The following is a 23,983-nucleotide window of genomic DNA, read 5'->3' as shown; positions in this document are numbered from 1 at the left end:
TCCTAAGTACTCCTGCTTTTCCCCCACCTTTTATCGCCAGCCCAACTCCTGTGTTGCCAGAGTAGGGTTTTCAATCATTTCATTAGATATGCATATAAACTCAGAGCTACAGAAAGAAATAATTTGATGTTTTCTGGGTGTGTGTGATGGGGTCTTGCTATGTTGCCCAGGCTGGTCTCGAACTTCTGAGCTCAAGCAATCCTCCTCCCTCAGCCTCCCAAGTTACTAGGGTTACAGGCATGAGCCACCACACCCAGCAATAATTTGATTTTTCAAAAGGACTTCCAGTATTAAGAAAAGTTGGTTATATTCTATAGTATTTTTCATGTCAATGAATCCACTTAGCTTCACAACCTACTAACATTTATTTAGATTTGACTCAAGTTAATCGGTTGCATATAAGCCACATATTCTTTCCTATGAGGTTTTCACTCTTGACTTCACCAATGCCTTAAGTATTTTCTAAATTTTTTTTTTCCTGAAAGGATTCAAAGTTAGAATAATAGCAGGTTTTTAAATATTGATCCTCTGACCACCTATGTAAGAGTAGTTTGGCTGGGTATAGAATTATTGCATTTGATTCATTCCACTTGAAGGTAACAAGTTTTATTCTAATTGGATACAGAATTGTCTCTGTATTATGACATTCAGAAATCTCATTATAGATAGATACATCTCATTTTTGCTGTTGTTGTTATTAAGGCCTCATATCTTCTAATTTCCTATTTTATTTTGAGAACCATCCGGTCTGCTATTTAATTCCCCCTCTCATCAACTATGCTTTACATTTCCAAGAATCTCACAACTCCTGGACTGAAGCTATATGCCCGCCTAAGCCTCCAGAAGTGCTGGGATTACAGATAGGAGCCACTGCATCTGGCCCACTTTCCAAGAGTCTCAAGCACCCAAAAACCAGGAAGGAAGGCAGCAGCCCTGGCAGCAGCTCTGTTATTTAAGGTTAAGAGCAGGTTCTCATAAACCTACAGTACTCTAAATGTCATCTCTAAATCAGAGGAGTTATGACTTTTGACATAACATCCACTGTCAAGCCCAAAGAATGTGATCCCATCTAAGAGCCAACAGAAAGCTACCTCACTGCCTAGAGATACTCTCTAGCTGTAGACGCTCACGCAATGTAGAAAATGTCCATTCTCCACTAATTTCACTTCAAAATATAATTAGTTTACAGATAGCAGCTCAATACTGAAAACTAAACCTTATATATCAAAACTAATGTCAATCTAAAACTTAGATATTTAAGTCAAAAGGTCTTCTATCAGCAAGTAGCAAAAATTATAAAAATGCAGTTTTAAAAGGCTTTGGTAATTATGAATATCATAATTATTTAGTGACAAATGATAAATTTAACATTGATAACTAGAAGTGAGAGTGCAGGCCAGGCTCGGTGGCTTGCACCTGTAATCCCAGCACTTTGGGAGGCCGAGGAGGGCAGGCGGGTCACTGGAGATCAGGAATTCAAGACCAGCTTGGCCAACATGGTGAAACCCTGTCTCTATTAAAATTACAAAAATTAGCTGGGCGTGGTGGCACACACTTGCAGTCCCAGCTACTCAGGAGGCTCAGGCAGGAGAATCACTTGAACCCAGGAGGCAAATGTTGCAGTGAGACAAGATCACGCCACTGCACTCCAGCCTGGGCCACCAAAAAAAAAAAAAAGGAGAGTACAGATTTGCTGTTAAAAAAAAAAAAATTGATAAAAGCTTTAATTTACTCTTTCTCAACAAAGCTGCTTAAACAGTACAACAATAAAACAATCCAAGTACTAACCTTTAAAAAGAACTGTTCTTACATGGACACAGGGAGGGGAACAACACACACTGGGGCCTATCAGGGAGGTGTGGAAGGACAGAGAGCATCAGGATAAATAGCTAATGCATGTGGGGTTTAATACTTGGTGATGGGTTAATCGGTGCAGCAAACCACCATGGTACATGTTTATCTATGTAACGACTCTGCACACCCTGCCCATGTATCCTGGAACTTAAAATTAAATTTTAAAAAATGTTCTTGAGCTGTCGCAAATTCTTCCATAAAGATTCTCATTATGTTAAAAAAGAATATAATGAGATAACGTTTACTTTCTCTAAAATAACAACTTGCTATAATCCTACTTACTGTTAAGCCACATATCAAGCTCTGTAAAAGACAAAGTAAATCCCAAAATTAAGTAAAATCTTTCCTTAACCCTCCCCCTAAAAGATTAGCACGACTACTTAGAGCTATGATAAAGCAAACAATTAAAAAATGGGCAGGAGGAGTTCATTAGCACCTAACTAGATACCTGATATTTAGGTATCTCTTTCATATACAGTAAAATGATTATTGCTCTGAAAGAAAAATTGGTGAGAAAGGAAAAATCCAAGAACAGAAAGTTGTTGAAACGATCTGAGTTGTAGTTTTCCCTGCTGCTGGCAATCCATCAAACTGTGCAAAATAAATGCTATTGCATCTAACCTTTTAAAATCTTTTCTGTTAAACAACACTTTCAAATTCACCAAGCCAAAAATAAATGGGAAAGTTCCAATGCTAATATGACAATAATGTTAATTCTGCTATAATAGTATCACTACAACTTTTAAATTCAAAGGACACCACATTGAATATTAAGTAGCATTTTATTTTGTTTTTGCTCTGGGGTATGCTTTCCTTTGCACAGAAGTATGGAAAGCTCTCCAGTTTGCCACTGACAAGGAGATTCAAGTGCCAGAGACAGATTTCAAAAACCCAAAGCTTGGGTGGCATGTTTCACAGTCACAGAGGTTGGGTGCATTTCTCATTATTACCTACTTCTGAGCCACTGGTACATCTCTAACGGCTTTGCGTATTTTCCAATTTTACTTATTTATCTTTGCTTTTCCACATTTTGCCCTTTTGATTGTGAAACTTCTAGACAGGGATTAATACCAGGCCATACTAAGCTTAGTTTTGTTCTTTAGAGAAACCTGTTAATTCTCTGTTAATAGCATAGGGCATTTCTTGAACACTGGGAACTTCAGTACTTGATGAATACACAGGTAGTTCTCAACCTAAAAACAGATTATGTTCCAAAGGTGTACATGTAATTCAGTTGTCAGAACTAGAAACATATTTTCCCATATGATCGACATTGTGAAAGATGACTAGGATACCTGACCAGCATTCAAAAGGCAACTGAGTCCATGACAAAGCTCCTGCTACAGAAGAATCCTACAGAACAGATCATGGTGTCCAGAGCACTCAATACTTTCGAAACAGCAACCCCCTGCGGACCTGCCGGGTGGGAGAAAGCAGAGCCTCTGTGCTGATGTTTCCCCGAGACACTCACTGCAGGTGAAGGGGGAGCAGGTGCTCTAGTGTCAGGGAGGAGAACATGAGCAAAAGGGCAGAGGCACAAGAGGGAACAACAGTGGATCCTAATTACTGACTTTATCATCAAGTGGCCACAGAGACGCAGTATAACCTAAAAGGGAAGAACATGGATTCTGAAGCCAGGATGCCTAGGTTCAAATGCCAATTCTGCCACTTCGGGCAAAGTCCTTAAGCTCTGTGAGCTTCAGGTTCCTCCTCTGTAAAAGGACTGATTCCTTACAGGATTTGCTGCAAAGATTAAATAGGTTAATACAGTCTGACCCTTGAACAACACAGGTTTCAACTGAGCAGCTCAAATGCATTTCAATCAAATGCAGATCAAAAATACCGTATTCATGGGACACAAAAACCATGTAAATGTCATCTTTAAATCAGGAAAAAGGAGTTACGACTTTTGATATAACATTCTTTGTCAAGTCCACAAGAACATGGTCCCTACAAGAGCTAACAGAAAGCTACCTCACTGCCTAGAGATACCCTCTTTTTACATATACGAGTTCTTCAGGGCTGACTGTAAGACTGAGTACGTGCAGATTTGACCATAGGCGAGGGGTAGGGGAGATCCCGGTGTACAATGAGGGACGACTGTATATATAAAGTGCTGAGAATAGTCAACTTGCCTAAGGTCTTGAGTGTAATTATTGTTAATTTTCAAAAGTAGAACATCCTGGACTATGTAACAGTATCGCCGATGTATCTGCCCATGGCACCTCCCAAAATATACCCTGGAAAGTCTTAACAATAAATACCTTCACAAGGCCAGTTCCATTATAGGAAGATTTCCAGGTTATGTCATGCTCACGTGAAGACTTAGTCATTTAAGGCTATGTTTCAAGTCCTGTAGAGCAGAGAGATTAAAGAATACTTTTTTTTTTATGCCACCTGTCTTTTTTTAAGCAAATGACTGTACTTTTGGCTGAGTGATAAGCAGAGATCAGAAACCTCTAGGCTCTTTGCTCTTTCTGGAGCACAGTGCTCTGCACCACCTGCCAGTGACTCTTTGCAGTGAAGTGAATATTCCATTCTGTTCACTACCCATTGAGAAAAGAGTCATAGTATAATGCCTTGGGAGTTGTTTGTTTCTGAGATGGAGTCTCGCTCTGTCGCCCAGGCTGGAGTGCAATGGCGCAATCTCGGCTCACTGCAACCTCCGCCTCCCGGGCTCAAGCAATTCTCCTGCCTCAGCCTCCCATGTAGCTGGGATTACAGGCACGCACCACCCAGCTCAGCTATTTTTTTTTTTTTTTTTTTTTTTCATTTTTAGTAGAGATCGGGTTTCACCTTGTTGCCCAGGCTGGTCTTGAATTCCTGACCTCAAGTGATCAGGAATTTTTACCCCTTTGTTGTAATCTGGCAGATTCTGACAGTGTCTACTGAGTTAGTAAAACTCAAGAAAAGTTGCTCTCAGTAGAGAAATCACTTGTAAGGGTTCCAATGTTGCGTAAATGAGTAATTAAGTCTAGCTTTTTATAAGATACTTTGCAAACTCACTTCCGTCCCCACCACCTTACTAAAACTATTCTTTGTAAAACATCCAATGAATTCCACTTGCCAACTGGACAGAAGCCTTTCAGACTCTGACATGCCATATCTCAGCAGTCTATGTCGCTGCTGGACACTGCTATTTTATTCACTCAACAAATCTCCCTCAGGCACCAAATATGAGTGCCCAGCTCTGCACTAAACACTTTATGTAACAATGCAAAGAAGACTGTTAGAAAATCTAGAAAGGCAACAAATATATCATAGCATAAATATTTGATTACAATTGTGATAAATCTTACAAAAGGGAAACACAGAGGTTAATGAGCACAGATACTCAGGGTATTTTTGCCTTAGTACACTGAAGCAATCAACCTAGCCTACGGGGTCAGAGAAGGTACTATTTAAGTGTACGCTTGAAGAGTTAGAACTTGACCATAAAAGCAGCAAGTAAGAGAGAGAAAAAAAAGAGAAAGTTAGCAGAGAAAACAGCATAGGCAAAGGACACATGGCTGAAAAAAAGTTTGGCAAACTTGAGAACTAAGATGGTCAGACCACATGCAGCAGAAAGAAGACGAAGAGTCGGGGAACTGGCTGGAGAGGTGGGCAGGGGCAGCCCATGTCCCACCTCTATTTGTTCCATAGTTTTAAATGTAAAATTATTTACACTTTAGCTTATTGCCAAAACTAGAACCTCAGCCTGCAGCTGTAGGGCTCGCTAGTTTTTTTGTTATTTTTTGTTTTTATACAGAGTTTAGCTCTTGTTGCCCAGGCTTGAGTGCAGTGGCGCAGTCTCGGCTCCCTGCAACCTCCACCTCCTGGGTTCAGGGGATTCTCCTGCCTCAGCCTTCCCGGTAGCTAGGATTACAGTCGCATGCCATCATGCCCAGCTAATTTTTGTATTTTTTAGTAGAGACAGTGTTTCACCATGTTGGCCAGACTGGTCTTGAACTCCTGACCTCAGGTGATCCATCCACCTCATCCTCCCAAAGTGCTGGGATTACAGGCATGAGCCACCGTGCCCGGCTGCATGGCTCACTTTTATCACTTTCTAGGTTCTAACCAACTGGGCATAACCACAAATAACATCCACAAATAACATCTGACAGACAGATGGGGATCAGAACATGGGCTTTATTCGAGGCATGGTCACACACAACCCCAGAGGCTTCTGGTAAATGTGCTGGAGAATACAGCTTAAGCCTGACGTCAGCAGGGCTTCCTATGTTCTTCTTCCAGACCTGAAGGTGGCCAGGTTCACAGAGCAAACCTGAACTGATTTACCTGTCCAGGCAAAGGCTGGACTAGAAGAAGTATAGACCAGATTAGGCCTGCCAGGGGAACACCTCCCTAATCTCCTTATTGCCTGAAGACAGCAGGCAAAAAGTAGAGGATAGCTGGCACCTTTCTGCAGGCCTCCACCCCTTGTTTCCCCCGCAAAAAAAAAAAAAAAAAGAACGAAAGCCATGTGGAAATACAGTGACTTCACTCATATTAATGTCAAGCCCCGAGCTTTCCAATTTGCCATTCTTTCTCCCGTGGGGAGAAGTTAATAAAGAGAAAGGAGGGAGGGCCCTAGAACGGGAGCACAGTTCTCCACTATCTGAACACAAAAAAGTGAGACCAACTCCTCCCTGAACGGCAAAAACTTTTAGTAATATGACTTCCTAATCTGATCACAGACATCTTTCTTTCTACAACTACCTAAGCTGTGTAATTTGACACTTGATACAACAAAGCCATAAAGATTTATACGATCCATAATCATTACCTTGACAATGAAGATAAAATCTACTGAGAAATCATAAAATACTTCATACTTTAAAGGAGACAGCAATGACTTTTGCAGCAAAGACCTCTTTTATCCTGCTTATTTGCACACACCATCTGCTTTATTAGCATGTCGTGTCATATGGAACTGCTCTGGTAATTGCAAGCCTCATATTATGACAACACTAACAGAATATGAAGGTAGGGAGCAGAGACAATGAGCAGGATGGGGGAGAGTGGCTTATTCATTAGTCCTGCCCTATCTTGTTCCCAAAATCATTTAATTCATTCAGTTAGTCATTCAAAAATATGTGTTCACACTTAAGTGCTAGGCAATGGAAATTGGTGAAGAAAACATAGTCCCTACTCCGAAGAAATGTACAGTCATGTAACAGAAATGATTTGTATATGAATATATATATATACATTTATATATAATTTATATATAAATATATGGTAAGGAAAACTGGCATGGGTTTGCAGCTCAGAAGTAGGGATACAAAGCAACTACTATCATGGACTTGTGGGTATCCTTCCAATCCTTTTTGTACTTCTGTGTGTGTATATGGGCATTTCCATCTATGAGCAATACATAGTATTACTTTGTGGTTTTCTTAACTTACATAAATGGTATCAACTCACTTATTCACTCATCATTGTTTTTTAATCATTTTTCACCGTTGTTTTTTAATCTACTTCTCATTTAACCTACCTCTCATTGTTTTTTATCTACCTCTGTTGAGATTACATATAGATATAACTTCTCTACACACTTCTCTACACACATACACCTGCAATACACTCTTCCACTATATAAGTATTACACGTTTTGTTTACTTCTCCTGACACATTTATGTGTCCAGGTCTGCCCTATTTTAACCAATGCATGAATGAACCTCATTTTAAATATTTTTTGTAACATATGCACTTTTTCCTCTAGCCCATCAAATCCTTCAGTACTTCAGGTTCCTTTCATAGCTACTGTGATAAATAAATGATATAAAGTTGGATACAACCTCAAAAGATAAAAATCAAGTTAACAAAACCCAGCAATTACACTCCTATGTGTATAACCAAAAGAAAGAAAATGTGTCCACAAAAAAACTGCTACACAAATGTTCATAGCAGTGTTATGCATAATAGCCGAAAAGTCAAAACAACCAACATGTTCATCAACTGATAAATTAATAAAATGTGGTATATCCGTGCACGGAAATATTTTTTCAGCCATCAAGAATGGAGATCTGACACATGCTACAACATGGATGCATCTTTAAAATGTTATTTTAAGTGAAAGAAGAGAATCACACCAAAAAAAACACACATTATATGACTCCATTTGTAAAAATGTCCAGAATACAGCAAGTAGATTAGCGGTTGCCAGGGGCTGGGGGAATGGAGGAGTAGGAGGAATTGCTAGTGAGCGCAGGGTTGCTTTCTGGGGTGATAAAAATGTTCTGCAGTCAAGATAGTGGTGATGGTTGAACAACCTTACGATTATGTGAAAAATCACAATTGTGCAATTTTAAATAAATTTTATAGTAGACAAATTATCTCTCAAAGTTTCACAAAAACATAAGGTATTACTTTCACAGTTCCATAAATTTGCCAACTTCATTTTTTGTGATCAAGGAAGATCTATAGATATTCATGTAAAAGAAAAAAACTAAAACATACCAAAGAAACAAACATTCTCCAGATTTTCGGACACTACCCACCTTCGCTGGATGCTCTGCTCCCCACTTTAGACTCCAGGCACCATGACAGAAGTCAGGGTTCTCAGATGCCCCATTTCTAAAACCCAGCACTCTCCTCCTCCGTGGGCTGGGCCAAACAGTCCATTCCGTCACATTCTCCAGGCCACTCGTCTCAGAAAATGCCCTAGGACCCTTCAAATTTCTCCTCCTCCTCCGCACCCCAACCTTGTCTCTTCCTGCCTCTATGCCTAGCTTGCTCAAGCCAAAATTCTAGGAGTCCTTGATTCCTCTTTCTGCCTATCACCCATAAGGCATACAAATCCTAACAGTTCCACCTCTGCAAAAATATGTCTTCCAAGGCATAGCTATCTCTGCTGCTGCCACTACAGCCCAGCCCAAAACATACTCTCTCCACTTAATCCCTTGCCCCCTCCCAATCCATTCTCCACTCAGCAGCCCAAGTTATCTTTTTATTTTTTAGAGATAGGGTCTCATCCATCACCCAGGCTTAAGTGCAATGGTGCAATCACTGCTCACTGCAACTTTGAACTCCTGGGCTCAAGCAATCCTCCCAAGTAGCTGGGACCACAAACATGTGCCACATCTGGCTGATATTTTAATTTTTTGTAGAGATGGCAGATCTTGCTACATTGCCAAGGCTGTCTCAAACTCCTGGCCTCAAGTGATCCTCCCACCATGGCCTCGCAAAGTGCAGGTGTGAGCCACCATGCACAGCCTCCTAGTTATTTATTTATTTGTTTGTTTGAGATGAAGTTTCGCTCTGTTGCCCTGGAGTGCAGTGGTGTGATCTCAGCTCAAGGCAACCACCGCCCCCTGGGTTCAAGTGATCCTCCTGTCTCAGCCCTCCCAGTAGCTGGGATTACAGGTGCCCACCGCCATGCCTAATTTTCATGCCTTTAGTAGAGACGGAGTTTCACTATGTTGGCCAGGCTGGTCTCAAACTCTTGACCTCAAGTGATCCACTTGCCTTGGCCTCCCAAAGTGCTGGGATTACAGATGTGAGCCACTGCACCTGGCTCCAAGTTATCTTTTTAACAAGTAAATCTCAACATCACATCCATATTTGAAATCTTGCAACTCCTTACCACAGTGAGGATCTACTTGGTCTGACCCCTGCCCCTCTTTAGCTTCAGGCTATGCCCTGCTCCCCTCTGCTCATGATAGTCCCTTTGCTATTCTACCCTACTGTTTGTTTCTAGAACCACTAGGCCTACTCTTGGCTCAAGATCTTCGCAGTTGTTGTTCCTGCTACTGCCACCCAAGATTTCCACATTTCTGGCTCCTTTACATCATCCAGGTTTAGCTGAAATATCACTTCCTCAGGGGGCCTTCCATAACCAGTATACTCCTTCTAATTAGCCTGCCCCCTGCCAAGTTACAATTATATTGTCATGTGTATTATTTTCACAGTATTTATCACTCTCTGGAATAATCTTGTTTATTTACCAGAATATAAACTCCAAGAGAGAAGTAACACCTTGCTCCTTGCTGATTCCCTAGAACCAAATAGTAGGTTTGCAATAAATATGTACCACGTGGCTTAATCTCAACTGGTCATTAGGTTGAAAGCACAGTGATTAAAAATAATATGCATTAGGAAGGTCACATTCCTTAAATCTTCCAGGCATGGGTTACTTATTAGCCCAAATAAATTCCTAATTGGTAGTTATAGCAGGCAGCATAGAAGAGACTGGCTTGGAAGTAAGTCTTTCATACACTCGCAACCTATGGAGAAGGCCACCTGGCTACATCTTTCAAAATCGTAACTGCCCCTGCCTTTTAATCCAGCCATTCTAGGAATTTATCCTACAGCTTTACTTGCACATGTGTGAAATGACACGTGGAAAAGACTGCTCACTTTGCAGCACTCTGCGTAAGAGCAAAAGGTTATAATGTCCATGAACAAGAGACTGGTTAAATAAATTATGGTATAAACACATAAAGGAACATTTTGCAGTGCCATTTAACAAAAAAAGCAGGAGCTGCCTATGTCCTAATTACATAGTCACAAACTGCTTGAGAGTCAGCTCCAAGAAACATGTTGAGTGAGAAAAAAGGCAAGGTGCAGAAGAATATATACAGTTTGATACCATTTTGGAAAAATAAAAGAGGGAAGAGAAATAGTATACATGTTTGTATTATATATGTAATTATGCACAGTGACTCTGGGGAATAGCCTGAGTGGCTGAGGAAATGGGGCAGGAAAAGGGGCTTTTCACTGTAGATGCTTTCCAACTCTTCAAATTTTGAGCCATATAAATGTATTAATTGCCCACATCTTACACCCCTAAATCTAGCTCTACTTCTGTTTACTTTCAAATGTTTCAGCTAAATTGGAAACCAGCTTATTTAAACACGCCTTCTTTCTCTCCATCTTTGCTGGCAATGTCCTCTTTCCCTTTCTTCTAATGAAATTTTACATTTCCTTACATTGTGGAAATCAAATCTCCTTTTCTTTGTGCGTTTCTCCTCTACATGCTAATTCTGTTTGGAAATCATTTCTTCTTCCTAGGAATACCCGTAAGAACCTGCAATATACCCTTCTTCAGATTTCTAGGCAATGGGTTCATACCTAGTGAACAAAGTCCCAACCCCATCAAGCCCTCACAGACATTAAACAAATTAAACTCCAGAATTTATAGTCTATTGCTCTTAAGTGGTGGTCAAAACAGCTTTTCAATTGTGGAGAGACTAGACACAAAGGATGCAGAAAAAAAAATGAGAATTAGTATGAATAAGAGAAATTGCTGCATTAATAGGGAGCTTTTTCAGGTTAAAATTAGCATATTTTTCATCATTTCATGTCAGTGCCCGTATTGCATTTCAGATTTGCTGGGAAGTATCACAGATCCATAAGATAGCCAAGTTTGTAACTGATCTCTAATTAAGCTGACAAATGTCAGACAGTGCTGCTACCAGAATACTCTATTGGTAAAACATGAACTGAAAAAGGGAGAGAAAGTCAAAGGAATAAATCTACACCCCAAATTTCAGTTCCTGATTCATCTATGTTATTGGATCATATGTTCCTGATTCTTATAACTGTATGTGTAGTCAACCGTTTTTGCTCCAAAAGGAAATTTAATCTGGTTAACACCAAAATGTGACTCCAACTGCCTTTTCTTAGTTCTCACTCTCAATGACCTCCATGCAGCACTTGATAGCATCAACCCTTATGTACTTTTGGAAGCGCTTTTGTCCGTAAATGCAGAAACTACATGATTCTTCCTCTTATCTTCCCGGCTCTCTTGGATTTGCTTTGCCCTACACTGATCTTCCCTTCTCCCTCTTGGTCTTCCGCAGGAGCTCAAATACCAAGCCTCACTCCTACCTTTCTGTAAGTTTTTCTTTCTTATAATGATGATTTTCATTACAAAGCTCTTCTTACACGATTTAAAAGCATATTGTTCATTTAATAAGCAAAACAGCTTCCTTGTGTGTTAGGTATTTTGTCCTGTCTTTCCTCTACACCATGAAGCCTCTGTTGAGGTGTTTATTTCCACAAAGGCAGGTGAGAGACAAGCAGAGTTAAGAATATGGTTTGGGCTGGGCGTGGTAGCTCAAACATGTAATCCCAGCACCGTGGGAGGCCGAGGCAGGCGGATCACCTGAGGTCAGGAGTTCGAGACCAGCATGGCCAAAATGGTGAAAGCCTGTCTCTACTGAAAATACAAAAATTAGTTGGGCATGGTAGTGTGTGCCTGTAACCCCAGCTACTTAGAAGGCTGAGGCAAGAGAACTGCTTGAACCTGGGAGGCGGAGGTTGCAGTAAGCTGAGATCGTGCCACTGCACTCCAGCCTAGGCGACAGAGCAAGACTCCTTCTCCAAAAAAAAAAAAAAAAAAAAAAAAAGATATCATTTCACCTGCCACTTATGAGTTATGCAACCTTTGGCAGAGTAGTTACATTGCTCCAGTCACAGCTTCCCCCATATAAGATGTGTACACAAATTGAGTATCCTTTGTCCAAAACGTCTCAAACCAGAAGTGATTGATTTCTGATATTTTCAGATTTTTGAATATTTGCATATACATAATGCGGTATCTTGAAGATGGGACACAGGTCTAATATGAAATTCAATTCATAAGGTGTTTCATAAACACCTTACACACAGCCTGAAGCTAACTTTATATATTTTTAATAATGTTGTGCGCGAAATGAAGTTTTGACTGTGACCCATCAAATGAGGTCAGGTGTAGAATTTTCCACTTTGAGGTGTCATGTCAGTGCTCAAAATGTTTCAGATTAGGGATGTTCAACCTGCAATAATACCTCTTTCCAAAGGGATACTGAATTAAAATGTGATTATGATAACACTTAAGTATTACTTATTATGTGCCAGACATTGTTATGGACTTTATATATATCAATTCATTTCATTCTCACAAGAATCCTACTATTAAATCCCTTTTACAGGTGAGGACATTGAAGCACAGACAGCATGTCTGTGAAGCACTTATCACTGTAGCTAGTATGCACTCAACAAATAGTGGCTCCTGTTATGATCACCTCTGTGCTGTCACTCTCAAATATACACCTCATCAAATATATACGCTCATTCGCTTAAACTCTGCTAGGAGAGTTCCACAAGGTGTCTTACCAACACAAACACAAGAATGTCAAAAATCAAACTCCACACCTCAATCCCCTCCACCCCACCACAGCCCACCTAAATACAAAGCGTGGTTCTCCTCTCAACTTCTTTCTCTGGGTCAACAGTCACCTAGCTTCAACTCAGAGCCATCCCCAACGCTCTTCTCTTCTGTTGCTGTCTCCAATCCACCTCCAGTCTTGGGATTTCTTCCTACGTGGACTTCCCTCTCCTTCACTGCCATTTCCTCTGCTCCTGTCCTGCAAAAGGACTGGATTCTGGAGCCAAACAAACTTCACTAAATGTACATTTGCGGAAAAACGGTGTAATTTGTATAAAATTTGATGAAAATAGAAGCAGTAACACTTCAAAGTCCATGGGTGAAAGTCAGCCAAGGGTGAAGAGGCAGAACAGCCACCTGACTGTACAGGCAGCGAGACACAAACACAGCAGTAAGTATGTGATCAGATTGTAATCCATTCTCAGGTTAACCAAGAGTATTGTTCAGATGGCCTCAAAGGCATCCAAAAAAAAAAAAAAAACCATAATAGAATCTTAAAACAGACCATCATAAGGGAAAGGGGAGGCGATTAAGGATATGAGGATTAATGAAATCTCAGTGAGGCAAAGGAGTGTAGAAACACCAACATGAAATTGAATAACAAGGCTCATGTTAATCTGAAGCAGAAGTGTCAGTTCATATGATCTGGTTTTGTTTTTATCTCACACAAAAGAAAGCCAACTCATATCTCAAGGGTGAGGGGGAAAAGAAGCTAACCACAGTTATGCCATTCTTATGTTTCATTTTAGCAGCCTGACAAGCCAGCACTATGTGTCTCCAACTGTCAATAGGGCTGAGAGAACCACTTAAGCTAATTAACTGGTTAGGTTTTTGAAATGCAATAAGAACTGTACATCAGCATTGTTTAATTATTTCGAAACTGCAAATGCTAAATAAATACTGCAAGCCTTTGATAAAGAAGTAGCACTGCTATTTTATAATGCATTATTATCAAACATTAGTGAATAAGGGTGAGCATACAGAAGCAAATAAGGTTCCAACAGCAGGATTCCAAACTGCATATTGAAGAAAAACATACAGTTCATAAATAGAGCAATTTGTAGTACTGTCCAACATATAAAAAATAAACAGTTAATTCAAGTACAGGTCAAATTGATACGTTTATACAAACAGGTGCCCAAAAAGAATATCAGTTCAACATACAGAAAGCAAAAAGCAATAAGCTAAAATCCCCTTGAATAACAAAACAAATGAGATACTCACATGTATTAAATATTTCTTCATTAATTTGTCAAATGGCATGCTGTATGAAATTTTGTTTATAACTTCCTTTAGAAATAATAACCAGTGTCTAAATTTAAAAATAATTAAAGCCAATGCTCTAATTTTAAACAGGATTAATAATAACATCAAGAAAAAGTAACATTTTAGTCATACAGTGAATTTATTAGAGCCAAAATTAAAGGATGAACTGGCCAAGCACCATGGCTTCTGCCTGTAATCCCAGCCACTTTGGGAGGCCACAGCAGGCATATCACTTGAGGTCAGGAGTTCAAGATCAACCTGGCCAACATAGTGAAACCCCATCTCTACTAAAATTATGAAAAAAAAAATTGGCCAGGCATGGTGGCACATATCTGTAGTCCCAGCTACTCAGGAGACTGAGGCACAAGAATTGCTTGAACCTGGGAGGCAGATGTGGCAGTAAGCCGAGACCGCACCACTGCATTCCAGCCTGGGTGACAGCAAGACTCTACTTCAAAAAAAAAAATGAAAGAATGAACTATGGCGTTCTCCATTTTATCATACACTCGCCTTTGCCTAAGTCTTTTTAGGTTCTCTCTCTCTCTGCTTCCCAGCCCCCTGCTTATACCCTTCTCATCCACCTGTGTTTGCTGAGAGCAGGGCTATATTTCCCTCTTTCTCCAGAGCCTGGTAGGATGCCTCACCTGTGCTAGTCACTCAGTAAGTGGCAGTTAAATGATTTGTTTTCAAGGCCCTCTCTGCCACAAAAGTGGGAACTCCTTGAGGAGAAGGACAAATTCTTAGTTATCCTTGTATACCCAATGCCTAGAACAGTACCTGACACATAATATTCCATTGTGTAACTGCAAAATGAAAGAACTTCATCTTCAATTTATAGTATCCAGCTTGGGAGTTTATAATATTTTATAATGTAGGTCACTAGCAGAAAGCTGGTTTCCTAAAAATACGTCTAATTTCTTAAATGAAAGCTGGCTGCCCAGTATCACACCCTTAGATAACATATTTCTGGATGTAAGTATCCCGCCACTATGTTGATTTTTTCCTTCATTTTACTGGTTCACTCATTCATACCTTTTAATTGCAGAGATTAAAGCAGGTTGCTGAGACCAGTCAACCAAGGCACTGTCACCAAAAGTGTCACTTGGCAGGATGGTCACCAGAAGTATCACTTGGCAGGATGCAAATGCCATGAAGGCTAGCATCATGCAAGAGACCTTGTGAAAGCTCTGTTTTCAATCAGCCCCTGAAGGAACACAACATTGGGTAATGGCTATGAGCAAAGATTATGTGTTTTACAAAATTCCTGCTGGGATCTATGAAATTTTTCACGCAAAGTTCCAGAAAGTGCTGAATAGGTTGTGAACGAAGCAGGAAAGAGGAGCCAGTGTGCAAGGACTTCTTTCACCCCACGCATCATTAGTGCAGAGCAGTAGCCCTTGTCTCTGTTATTTGTTTGTTTTCCTACCTAGTAAGGGAGAGACAGAGCAATTCTGGGTGAAAGGATAATCTCTGCCCTTTCCTCTAGCATTCTTGATCCCATTGGCAACCAATTCTCTGTGCCTCATCCACTCTAGTTTATTCAATCTTGTCTACAAAGAGTTTAAAACTAAAAAAGGATATTTTCTGCTTGTTTGAGTAAAAAAGTAGACTGCTTACATTACAAATGTACTGTTCACATTTATCTTATAAAATAGAAACTCCTCGATTCAATTAACTTCCTAAATTCATTTTGTGTATATGGATGTATACACGCACATGTTTAAGTCTCCTGTATATATGGGTATGTTCCTACATGGACATTGTGCATGCTTTCTCCAGCATTCAAAAAGTCTGATGGTCAAATATTATTTTCCCCTAAACATCCCCTCGTGTCAAACACATCCAAAAACTAGGAGGTTGGTTTATTCTCGTTTAGTGCCCTGGTCTGGATGATAAAACTAAGTGTTTTCAGTATGATGTTTCACTTAATCCACAAAACGATCTATAGAATAACTAACCAAAGCTCAAGTAGATTAACGAACTGGCCCACAGTTGGAGAGAGAGAGAAGATTTAAACAAGGTCTGTCCGACCAGAGTGCCTGTTCTTGACAATCATATGCCAAGCCAGTCCATTGGAGAGGAAAAAAATAACCCAGGGAGGATCCCTCAGACACAACGAGTAACTCCACAGAAAGAAACACATTTGTTACTTAAGGGTAAATCTAGGGCTATTTATATTGTCTGGGCTATCTGAAAAGCTTTCCCACAGATACAGATAGACGGTTTTTAAAGCCAAGAGTCCAGTGTAATATACACATCCAAATTCTATGCCAAGGGCGGATCAGAGAGATGGTAATGGAGTTCACATTTTGAATGCATAGGATTTTAAATGAGAACAAAAATCACGTGGATTAACCACTTAACTTGTTCTAGAGTTTGTTTAGAAAATTAAGCACAACAGACGAGGAGCGGTGGCTCACGCCTGTAATCCCAGCACTTTGGGAGGCCAAGGCAGGTGGATCACTTGAGGTCAGGAGTTTGAGACCAGCCTGAGCAATATGGCGAAACCCTGTCTCCACTAAAAATACAAAAATTAGCTGGGCATAGTGAGGTATGCCTGTAATCCCACCTACTCAGGAGGCTGATGCAGAAGAATCACTTGAACCTGGGAGGCAGAGGTTGCAGTGAGCTGAGAACATGCCACTGCACTATAGCCTGGGCGACAAAGCAAGACTCTCTCAAAAAAAAAAAAAAAAAAGAAAGAAAGAAAAGAAAAGAAAATTAAGCACAACAGAACTACACTGAAGCAGTAAATAACTAAGTACAATCAAGATGACTAGTGTCCATTAATTCTCTTGCAGAATTCACTACCTGCTACTACTGTGTCAGCTCTATTGCTAAAGTGAGCTTTCCTTATAACCATATCTGATAACACTACCTCCTGCTCAAAATCCTTCTAGATCTACATGTTACTCCAGCATGGGGTAAACCCAAAAGCTTTCAAAGGCAACAAACAGATAAAACAGTCTAGCATGAAACTAAAGACAGGCAGAGATTTTGGGGGAGCTAGAGAGAGCACAGAGATCTGTAAAAGCATATACATTCAAATTTTGTGGCATACTATATTCAGAATAAATACAAAAACCGGTGGTCAGCCCACAGCCTGTTTGCATGCAACTTGGGCACTTCAGTGTTTAAAATCTGTGCTCCTTTGTGCAGTGATAAGGCTCTGAATCTTCTGGACACATTGGGTCTAAGTTTTACCCCCAGTTACTCTTACTCTCCACCTCACACTTCAACTCCTATAATACCAGAGTACTCATACAGCCACCAATATGCCACACTTAGTTCTTGTGAAAAGCATTCCAAGATTAAGGAAAGTGTTTTTTGTTTTTGTTTTTGTTTTTTTTTTTGGTTTTTTTTTACAAATGAGGAAGTCTGAGTAGACCAGTGTTGGACTAGATCCTCTTTAAAAATAAGAAAACCAAGGCTTTCCAAAGTCACAAAGCCTGCCTCAGGTAGGACATCGTCAGAACCCACACCCTCTGGCAACTGTTAGTTCAGTTCTGAAAATTCACTTGTTTTTGTTCAGAATCTTTCTGAACACAGGCAGTTCCTTTTCTACACAAGTTTCATTTGAATATTTTCACTTACTTAATACAAACATTAAGACCTCAATCTTACGATATACATTACAGAGCACAAAATTAACATTACATTATTTTAAACTTCATGCCTTTGAAAATGCTCCAAAATAGCTTTTACATTCTTGTCCAACCAAAACACATCTGTTAAACTACCAATTACAGTAGCATTTAAAAGCCTCCCATATTGTACTACTGGACAGTACTGGACCATTTACCAAGGCTGCAGTTGTTCAAGCTCTGAAGTAATTGACTTCAGTCATGCAAAAAGACTGATAAGAATCAACTGGCTTTCAGCCCAGAGAAGCTTTCCAAACCAGTTTGGAAGTATTTAATGATTTTAAACATGTCAAAACTTTTTACTGAATATTCTTTCACAACAAAAATAATGTCAAGCCTAAGGGCAGACTAACAAGTTGTTTAGATGACAAAAGAAGTCAACAGTCACTATTAATAATAATACTGCAGATTCTCTGTTCTGAGAGTAAATTAACTTGTTTATCAACCATGGCAGAAAATAATAAAACATACAAAAAAGAGGTAAATTATTACAAATCAGTGATAACAATGACAAAGCCATACACCGGAAGAAATCTACTGTTTGCAGCTATTAATATAAGTTATTTAAATATACACAGAAACATATATAGGCACACCTTGTCTTACTGCACTTAGCTTTCTTGTGCTTCACAGATATTATGTTTTTCAAATTGAGGGCTTTAATTTGTAAAATTACAAATTTTGGAGGTTTGTGGCAGCCCATGTCCAGCAAGTCTATTGATGCCATTTTTCCAATAGCATCAGCTCACTTCACGTCTCTGTGCAGGCATTTTTTAGAAAATGTTTAATTAAGGTATGTACTCTTGTTAGCCATAATGCTATTGCTCACTTAACAGACTACAAAATAGCATAAACACAACTTTTATATGCACTGGGAAACCACAAAATTTGTGTGATTCACTTTATTGCAATGGTCTGGACCCTAACCTGCAATATCTCCAAGGTATGCCTGTATATGGAATAAATAAATATATATATAATATAAATAAATATATATATTATATATATATATATATATATATATATATATATATATATATATATGTAAGATATTTCAAATCCCTGTAATGCAGCTTGGAAACAGAGTACCCCAGTATCCAGTCAGACGCACAGTGCCCTCACTCTTTCAGAAGAGCACACAAGTGAGCAACCAGCATGGAAATAGACTATTCTCTTAGGTAGTAACTACTGTACCATTTTACATCAAAAAGCTGATAGGATACTGAGTCTCCATATCTTATTGTATTTGTGCTCTCTTTACTCTTTACTCAGATATCTAGATATTACCTGTCATCTTTCTCATAGGTGCAAATAAACTTTTATTTACCAAAGTCATTAAGCTGCTAAATAATCCCTCTTTCGGTTAGAACAAAAAGACCTGTTTTTCATGGTATTTATGAGTCAGCATCACAAATCAAACAAAAAACACCATCAAATAGTCAAAACGTTCAAATAACCTTAAATGAGCAATAATAACTAACAATTCTCCAAAATTCATTTCCCACCATTTGAAAGAAGCAACCATTCATCACTTTAATGATGTAAATGGGTAAAATGAAATGAAATTACAAAATTTTAAATTACAGGAATCTTAGAGATCTTCTAATAAGTAAGCTCATAAGAAACAGAAGTATAGGTCAGGCATGGTGACTCACACCTGTAATCCCAACACTTTGGGAGGCTAAGGCGGGCAGATCACCTGAGGTCAGGAGTTCAAGACCAGCCTGATCAACACGGAGAAACCCTGTTTCTACTAAAAATACAAAATTAGCTGGGTGTGGTGGCATGCAGCTGTAATCCCAGCTACTGGGAAGGCTGAGGCAGGAGAATCACTTGAACCCGGGAGGCAGAGGTTGCAGTGAGCCGAGATAGCACCACTGCACTCCAGAGTGAAACTCTGTCTCAAAAAAAGAAAGAAAGAAAGAAACAGAGGAATAGAAATGTTTCATCTAATTCATAATAAGCCAAAGTTTGCATAATTAAATCTGTATCAATCAGAAGCTATCACATTTATATAAGTGCAAAATAATCTTTACATTCCACATAGCTATAATGCAATCTACTGTTGAGTGTAGAATAAAGTTTATATTAACTAATAGACTCAAAAATATTGCAACTTAAACACATTGGTTTCCATTTTTAAGCTACACAAATAACTAAGGGAAAACTGCAATCAAGAAGAAAAACAACTTTTTGATTTAAACACCTCAAAAATGGCCCAGATGAAAAAAAGCAACAACAAAACTGAACTACTTGAAATTCTCTGCCTTTCACAATGCACATTCTTATTTCACTTGGGAAATTTAATTGTGCTTTGTGTATGACCTTTAAAGCATTGTTGTCACAGCTTGATAACATTCAAATAATTTCAATAAAACACCTACCACAGATGGGAAGTCATAAAATCATAATAGAAATACTCAAACTTTATAATAGTATTTAGGAGAACTTTATTTTCTAAAACTTGGTCTTTGCCTCTTCAGAAATAAACATTGTGCTTCCGAGTGAATTTCTTGGGCAGACACAATAAAAACTACTGAAGTACCTCCTCCATTACTCTCTGAATAGCCAAGCTTCACCATCCTTTATAACAGATATCATTCATTCTCCAGTCTTCATTAAAGCCTTTCCTAAGAATCTCAATTAGATTTTATATATATCCTCCACATATCCTACTGAGTGCAGGATACTGAGCCACATGAAGCTTTCTCAAGTTCTTTTTGCATTTATTTTCCGCATATTATTTTCTGTGACATTGCTCTATCTGTGAGTCACATAAAAGCTAAACCTCAGAAACCAGATTGAGTTCCATGAGGACAGGATCCAGTTTTGTGCTTCTTTTATATCTCCCACAATAGCTAGCTCAAGGTACATATTCAGCAGGTGTTCTTACCTCCTAATCGACAGATGCAGTAAAGACAGCTACACACATACGTAAGAACATGATATAAACTCCTAGCAAACGCCATGCACTGGTCTTCAAATCCAGATAGTTAAATAGTGATAACATTTAATAACTAGGCATTTATACAAATGCCATTTGTGCTCATTTTGGCCAAGATTCAGATGTTAACAGTTTAAGTATTTGAAAAATTAAGGGGTAATTCATACATTCTAATACTAGTAGATACAAAATTATTACACATCAGTAGCATTATCTCCATAATAAAAAAAAAAAATAAGGCTCAGAGAAGTAATGTAACTGCCCAAAGTGCAAGTAAGAAGTAAATCTGGAAGTCAAACTTGGGTCTTCCCATCCAGTGAACTACGGCTGGCTCAGTATATTGTGGCCACAGCCTCTTCAAGACTCACCTGGGCCATGAGTGGTCTTGTTATTTTCCCCCAGCAAACCATAAAATTATGAAGTCCTATGGGTTCCATACATGGAATAGTTTGGCAAGTACCATTTGACTCTACAGATGCTCTCTCTCAAAAAGTCTTTGAATAAAATATATTACCCAGTGGTGACACTGCCATTTTCAAGGCCCCATAATGCTCTTGTCACACAGTAAACAGGAAAATTGTAATTGTTTAAACTTCCAAGTTATCAGTTACCTTTCCATTCTGATCCTGCCTCCATGATATTATGCTCAACTCATCTTGATTGGAATTCTGTGTATTCCCCCAAATCTTGTCATGTGATTATTCTAGAAGACCTCTTGAATGCTCGTGTAAGTGGCTGACATCATCAAGTATGGATTTTAGTAAGTGAAGCGTGATCTGTATATTTTTCAGACTCACAATGACAGCTCCCTATGTATCTTCTAAATCCATCAGGACACATTACGGAGCTGAGGGCTATGAGGCTGCGGATGGCAGCAGGGACCCACGCAGAGGCAGTATTAGATGACTACTCATCTCGAACTGGCACTGGCTGCTGTCCCTTCCCTTCTCATCATCACTGTCCTGTCCTGACACTGGAGTTCGGCCAGCTGAGGCAGACCTACACGAGACTGGGTAGAGATAAGCTCCATAAGCAATTCCTCTGGCCGTAAGAATGGCTTTGAAAACTGAGGTTGAAGCTCCTTTATAAAGCTCTGTTGCATAATAGATTCCTCATCTCATGTGTTAACATGAAGGCAAACACAACCATAAAATGTTTTTGCCTGTGTATATATTTTTAATTACGCCATAAGAATCCATGAACCCACCAACTACAAAATAAAACTGGACCTTAATTATGACACATATATTTCTAGGTAACCCCCACTCCCATCCTTTGGTCTGCCACCATCTGAGGTAACCACTATCCAGAATCCTGTACTTTACTTTTTATAGTTTTATGTTTATCTATTTTTGTGTAATACAAATACTGTGTATATTTTTATGTATTTATAAGTACATACGTTCTTTTCATTGTTTCTAAGTTGATAAAATGGGTAAAGGCTGTATGTAACCTTCAGGGACTTACTTTTTCACTTGTTATAAAAATTCATCCATTCGAAGTTGGGGGCACTCTCAGAATGGTGGAGTGAAGATCTGTGGAAACGCTCCCATGCATAAAAACAATGAAAATGCTGCCACAATTTTCAAAATCAACTTTTTTGAAAATTCTGAAAATTAACCAAAGCTGTACAACAATCTAAAGCATTATCTTAGGAAAGCTGCTGAATCTTGGCTAGAAAGGCTTGGTTCATGGCATTTTAACTTGGTCTACTCCATCCCTCTCTCCTAAGCTCCATTCACAGTAGGCTAAGAACCAGCAGCCTCCCTAACAATGTGAAAATGTGTAGTCCTGTAGCCACCAGAGGGAGCAGACCCAGTTCAGACTTCCCCAAAAGCGCCCTCTCTGGAGCACTGTCACTGTCTGACCTGCTTCACAGCTCTCAGGGAAGCCCCATTCACAAGGCATTATCATTACTTGATGTCATGCAGAGCTCACCAAGCAGGAGAAGCCCTCTACCCTAGGGCATTTGTCAAAAACAATCAGCTGCAATTGATTAACACCACAGCTATTAAGTCGGCCATACCAGTTGGGCAGCCAAGAGTCCAGCCAAAAATTTAAATGGGAGACCTGTGAAATGAGATGTCCACAGTGGGTATCTGGAACTCCACACACATGTACCGGGCCATATACAAGCCGAGGAAAGAGCCATACACAACACATATACAGAGCCCCTCACAGAAGGATGGGAGACTTAGTAAAAGGGATTTGTGTCCAATCATCAACTGACCACTAATCAAACCCAACAGAGATTTCAGTGTCCCCACACAATGAAGAAAATAAACTTTATGAGATTAGTCCAGAGAAGTCACTATACGAAGTAACAGCAGCCTTATCAACAGGATGATACTCTGGGGGGATAACAAATTTGAACTTCCAAAGTTTACACATTAAATAATTTAAAATTTATAGTGTTTAACCAAAATATGAAGCATGCAAAGATATAGGAATGTACAGACCATACACAGGAAAAGGAGTCAATAGAAGCTGTCCCTGATGAAGCCTAGATGTTGAACTTAAGACGTAAACTTTAAAGGAAACCATCATGCTCATACTTTCCTTTAATTCTTTAACTCTCACAAAATAAAAAATGTCAAGAAAGAGACAGACATCACAAAAAGGAACAAAATTAAAACTCTGGAATTGAAAGGTATGATAACTGAAAGGAAATATTCATGTAAGGAGTCCACAGCTGACAAAAATGAGCAGAAAAAAGACCCAGCAAATTCAAAGATACATTGAGATTATGTGGTCTGAGGAAAAGAATAAATTATGAAAAAAAAATGAAAAGAATCTCTGGCACCTCTGGGACATCCCCAAGTGCATGAAGTTACACATAACTGGGGTCCTAAAAGAAGAGAGAAAGAATAACTGAAGAGATAATACTGCTGGTTTCTGTTGCAACATGTAAAGAGCTCGGAAGTCCCACTCTCCCAACATGAAAAATAGTGGAAAACTTGAACATGGACAATTCTTAGATACACCAGAGAACTGAGGTCTCAGGGCAAATAGTTGCACTGAAAACTGGAGACACAAAATCACAGCTTACTAGGAGGAGCGCTACTAGAGGAAATAACTGTAGGAACACTTAAGTGGTAACTCACTATTTGCTGGAGGCTGAGTATAAACTAGCTTGAG

The 23,983-nt window shown here is 39.3% G+C and overlaps 1 protein-coding gene and 1 long non-coding RNA gene across 2 annotated transcripts in view, besides 1 other annotated feature; both read right to left on the bottom strand.

Annotated features, from left to right (window-relative positions):
- The window catches only part of SDK1 (sidekick cell adhesion molecule 1), a 967,749-nt gene that overhangs the window by 846,231 nt on the left and 97,535 nt on the right, over positions 1–23,983 (bottom strand). The window lies entirely within an intron of this gene.
- The window catches only part of LOC124901577 (uncharacterized), a 49,944-nt gene extending 25,961 nt beyond the window's left edge, over positions 1–23,983 (bottom strand). Inside the window, exon 1 of the long non-coding RNA XR_007060196.1 lies at positions 1–23,983. This exon is cut by the window's left edge and continues 11,540 nt beyond it. This is a non-coding gene — a long non-coding RNA (uncharacterized LOC124901577).
- Positions 22,465–23,214: an enhancer, noted in NCBI's record as "OCT4-NANOG hESC enhancer chr7:3439188-3439937 (GRCh37/hg19 assembly coordinates)". NCBI's record gives its function as "activates a minimal SCP1, AML or CMV promoter by ChIP-STARR-seq in naive and primed H9 embryonic stem cells {active_cell/tissue: H9 hESC(naive and primed)}" and the evidence as "EXISTENCE:reporter gene assay evidence [ECO:0000049][PMID:30033119]".

The sequence above is a fragment of the Homo sapiens genome, chromosome 7, assembly GCF_000001405.40.
Source record: "Homo sapiens chromosome 7, GRCh38.p14 Primary Assembly".
NCBI lineage: Eukaryota > Metazoa > Chordata > Mammalia > Primates > Hominidae > Homo > Homo sapiens.
This window is presented reverse-complemented; position numbering and strand designations above follow the sequence as displayed.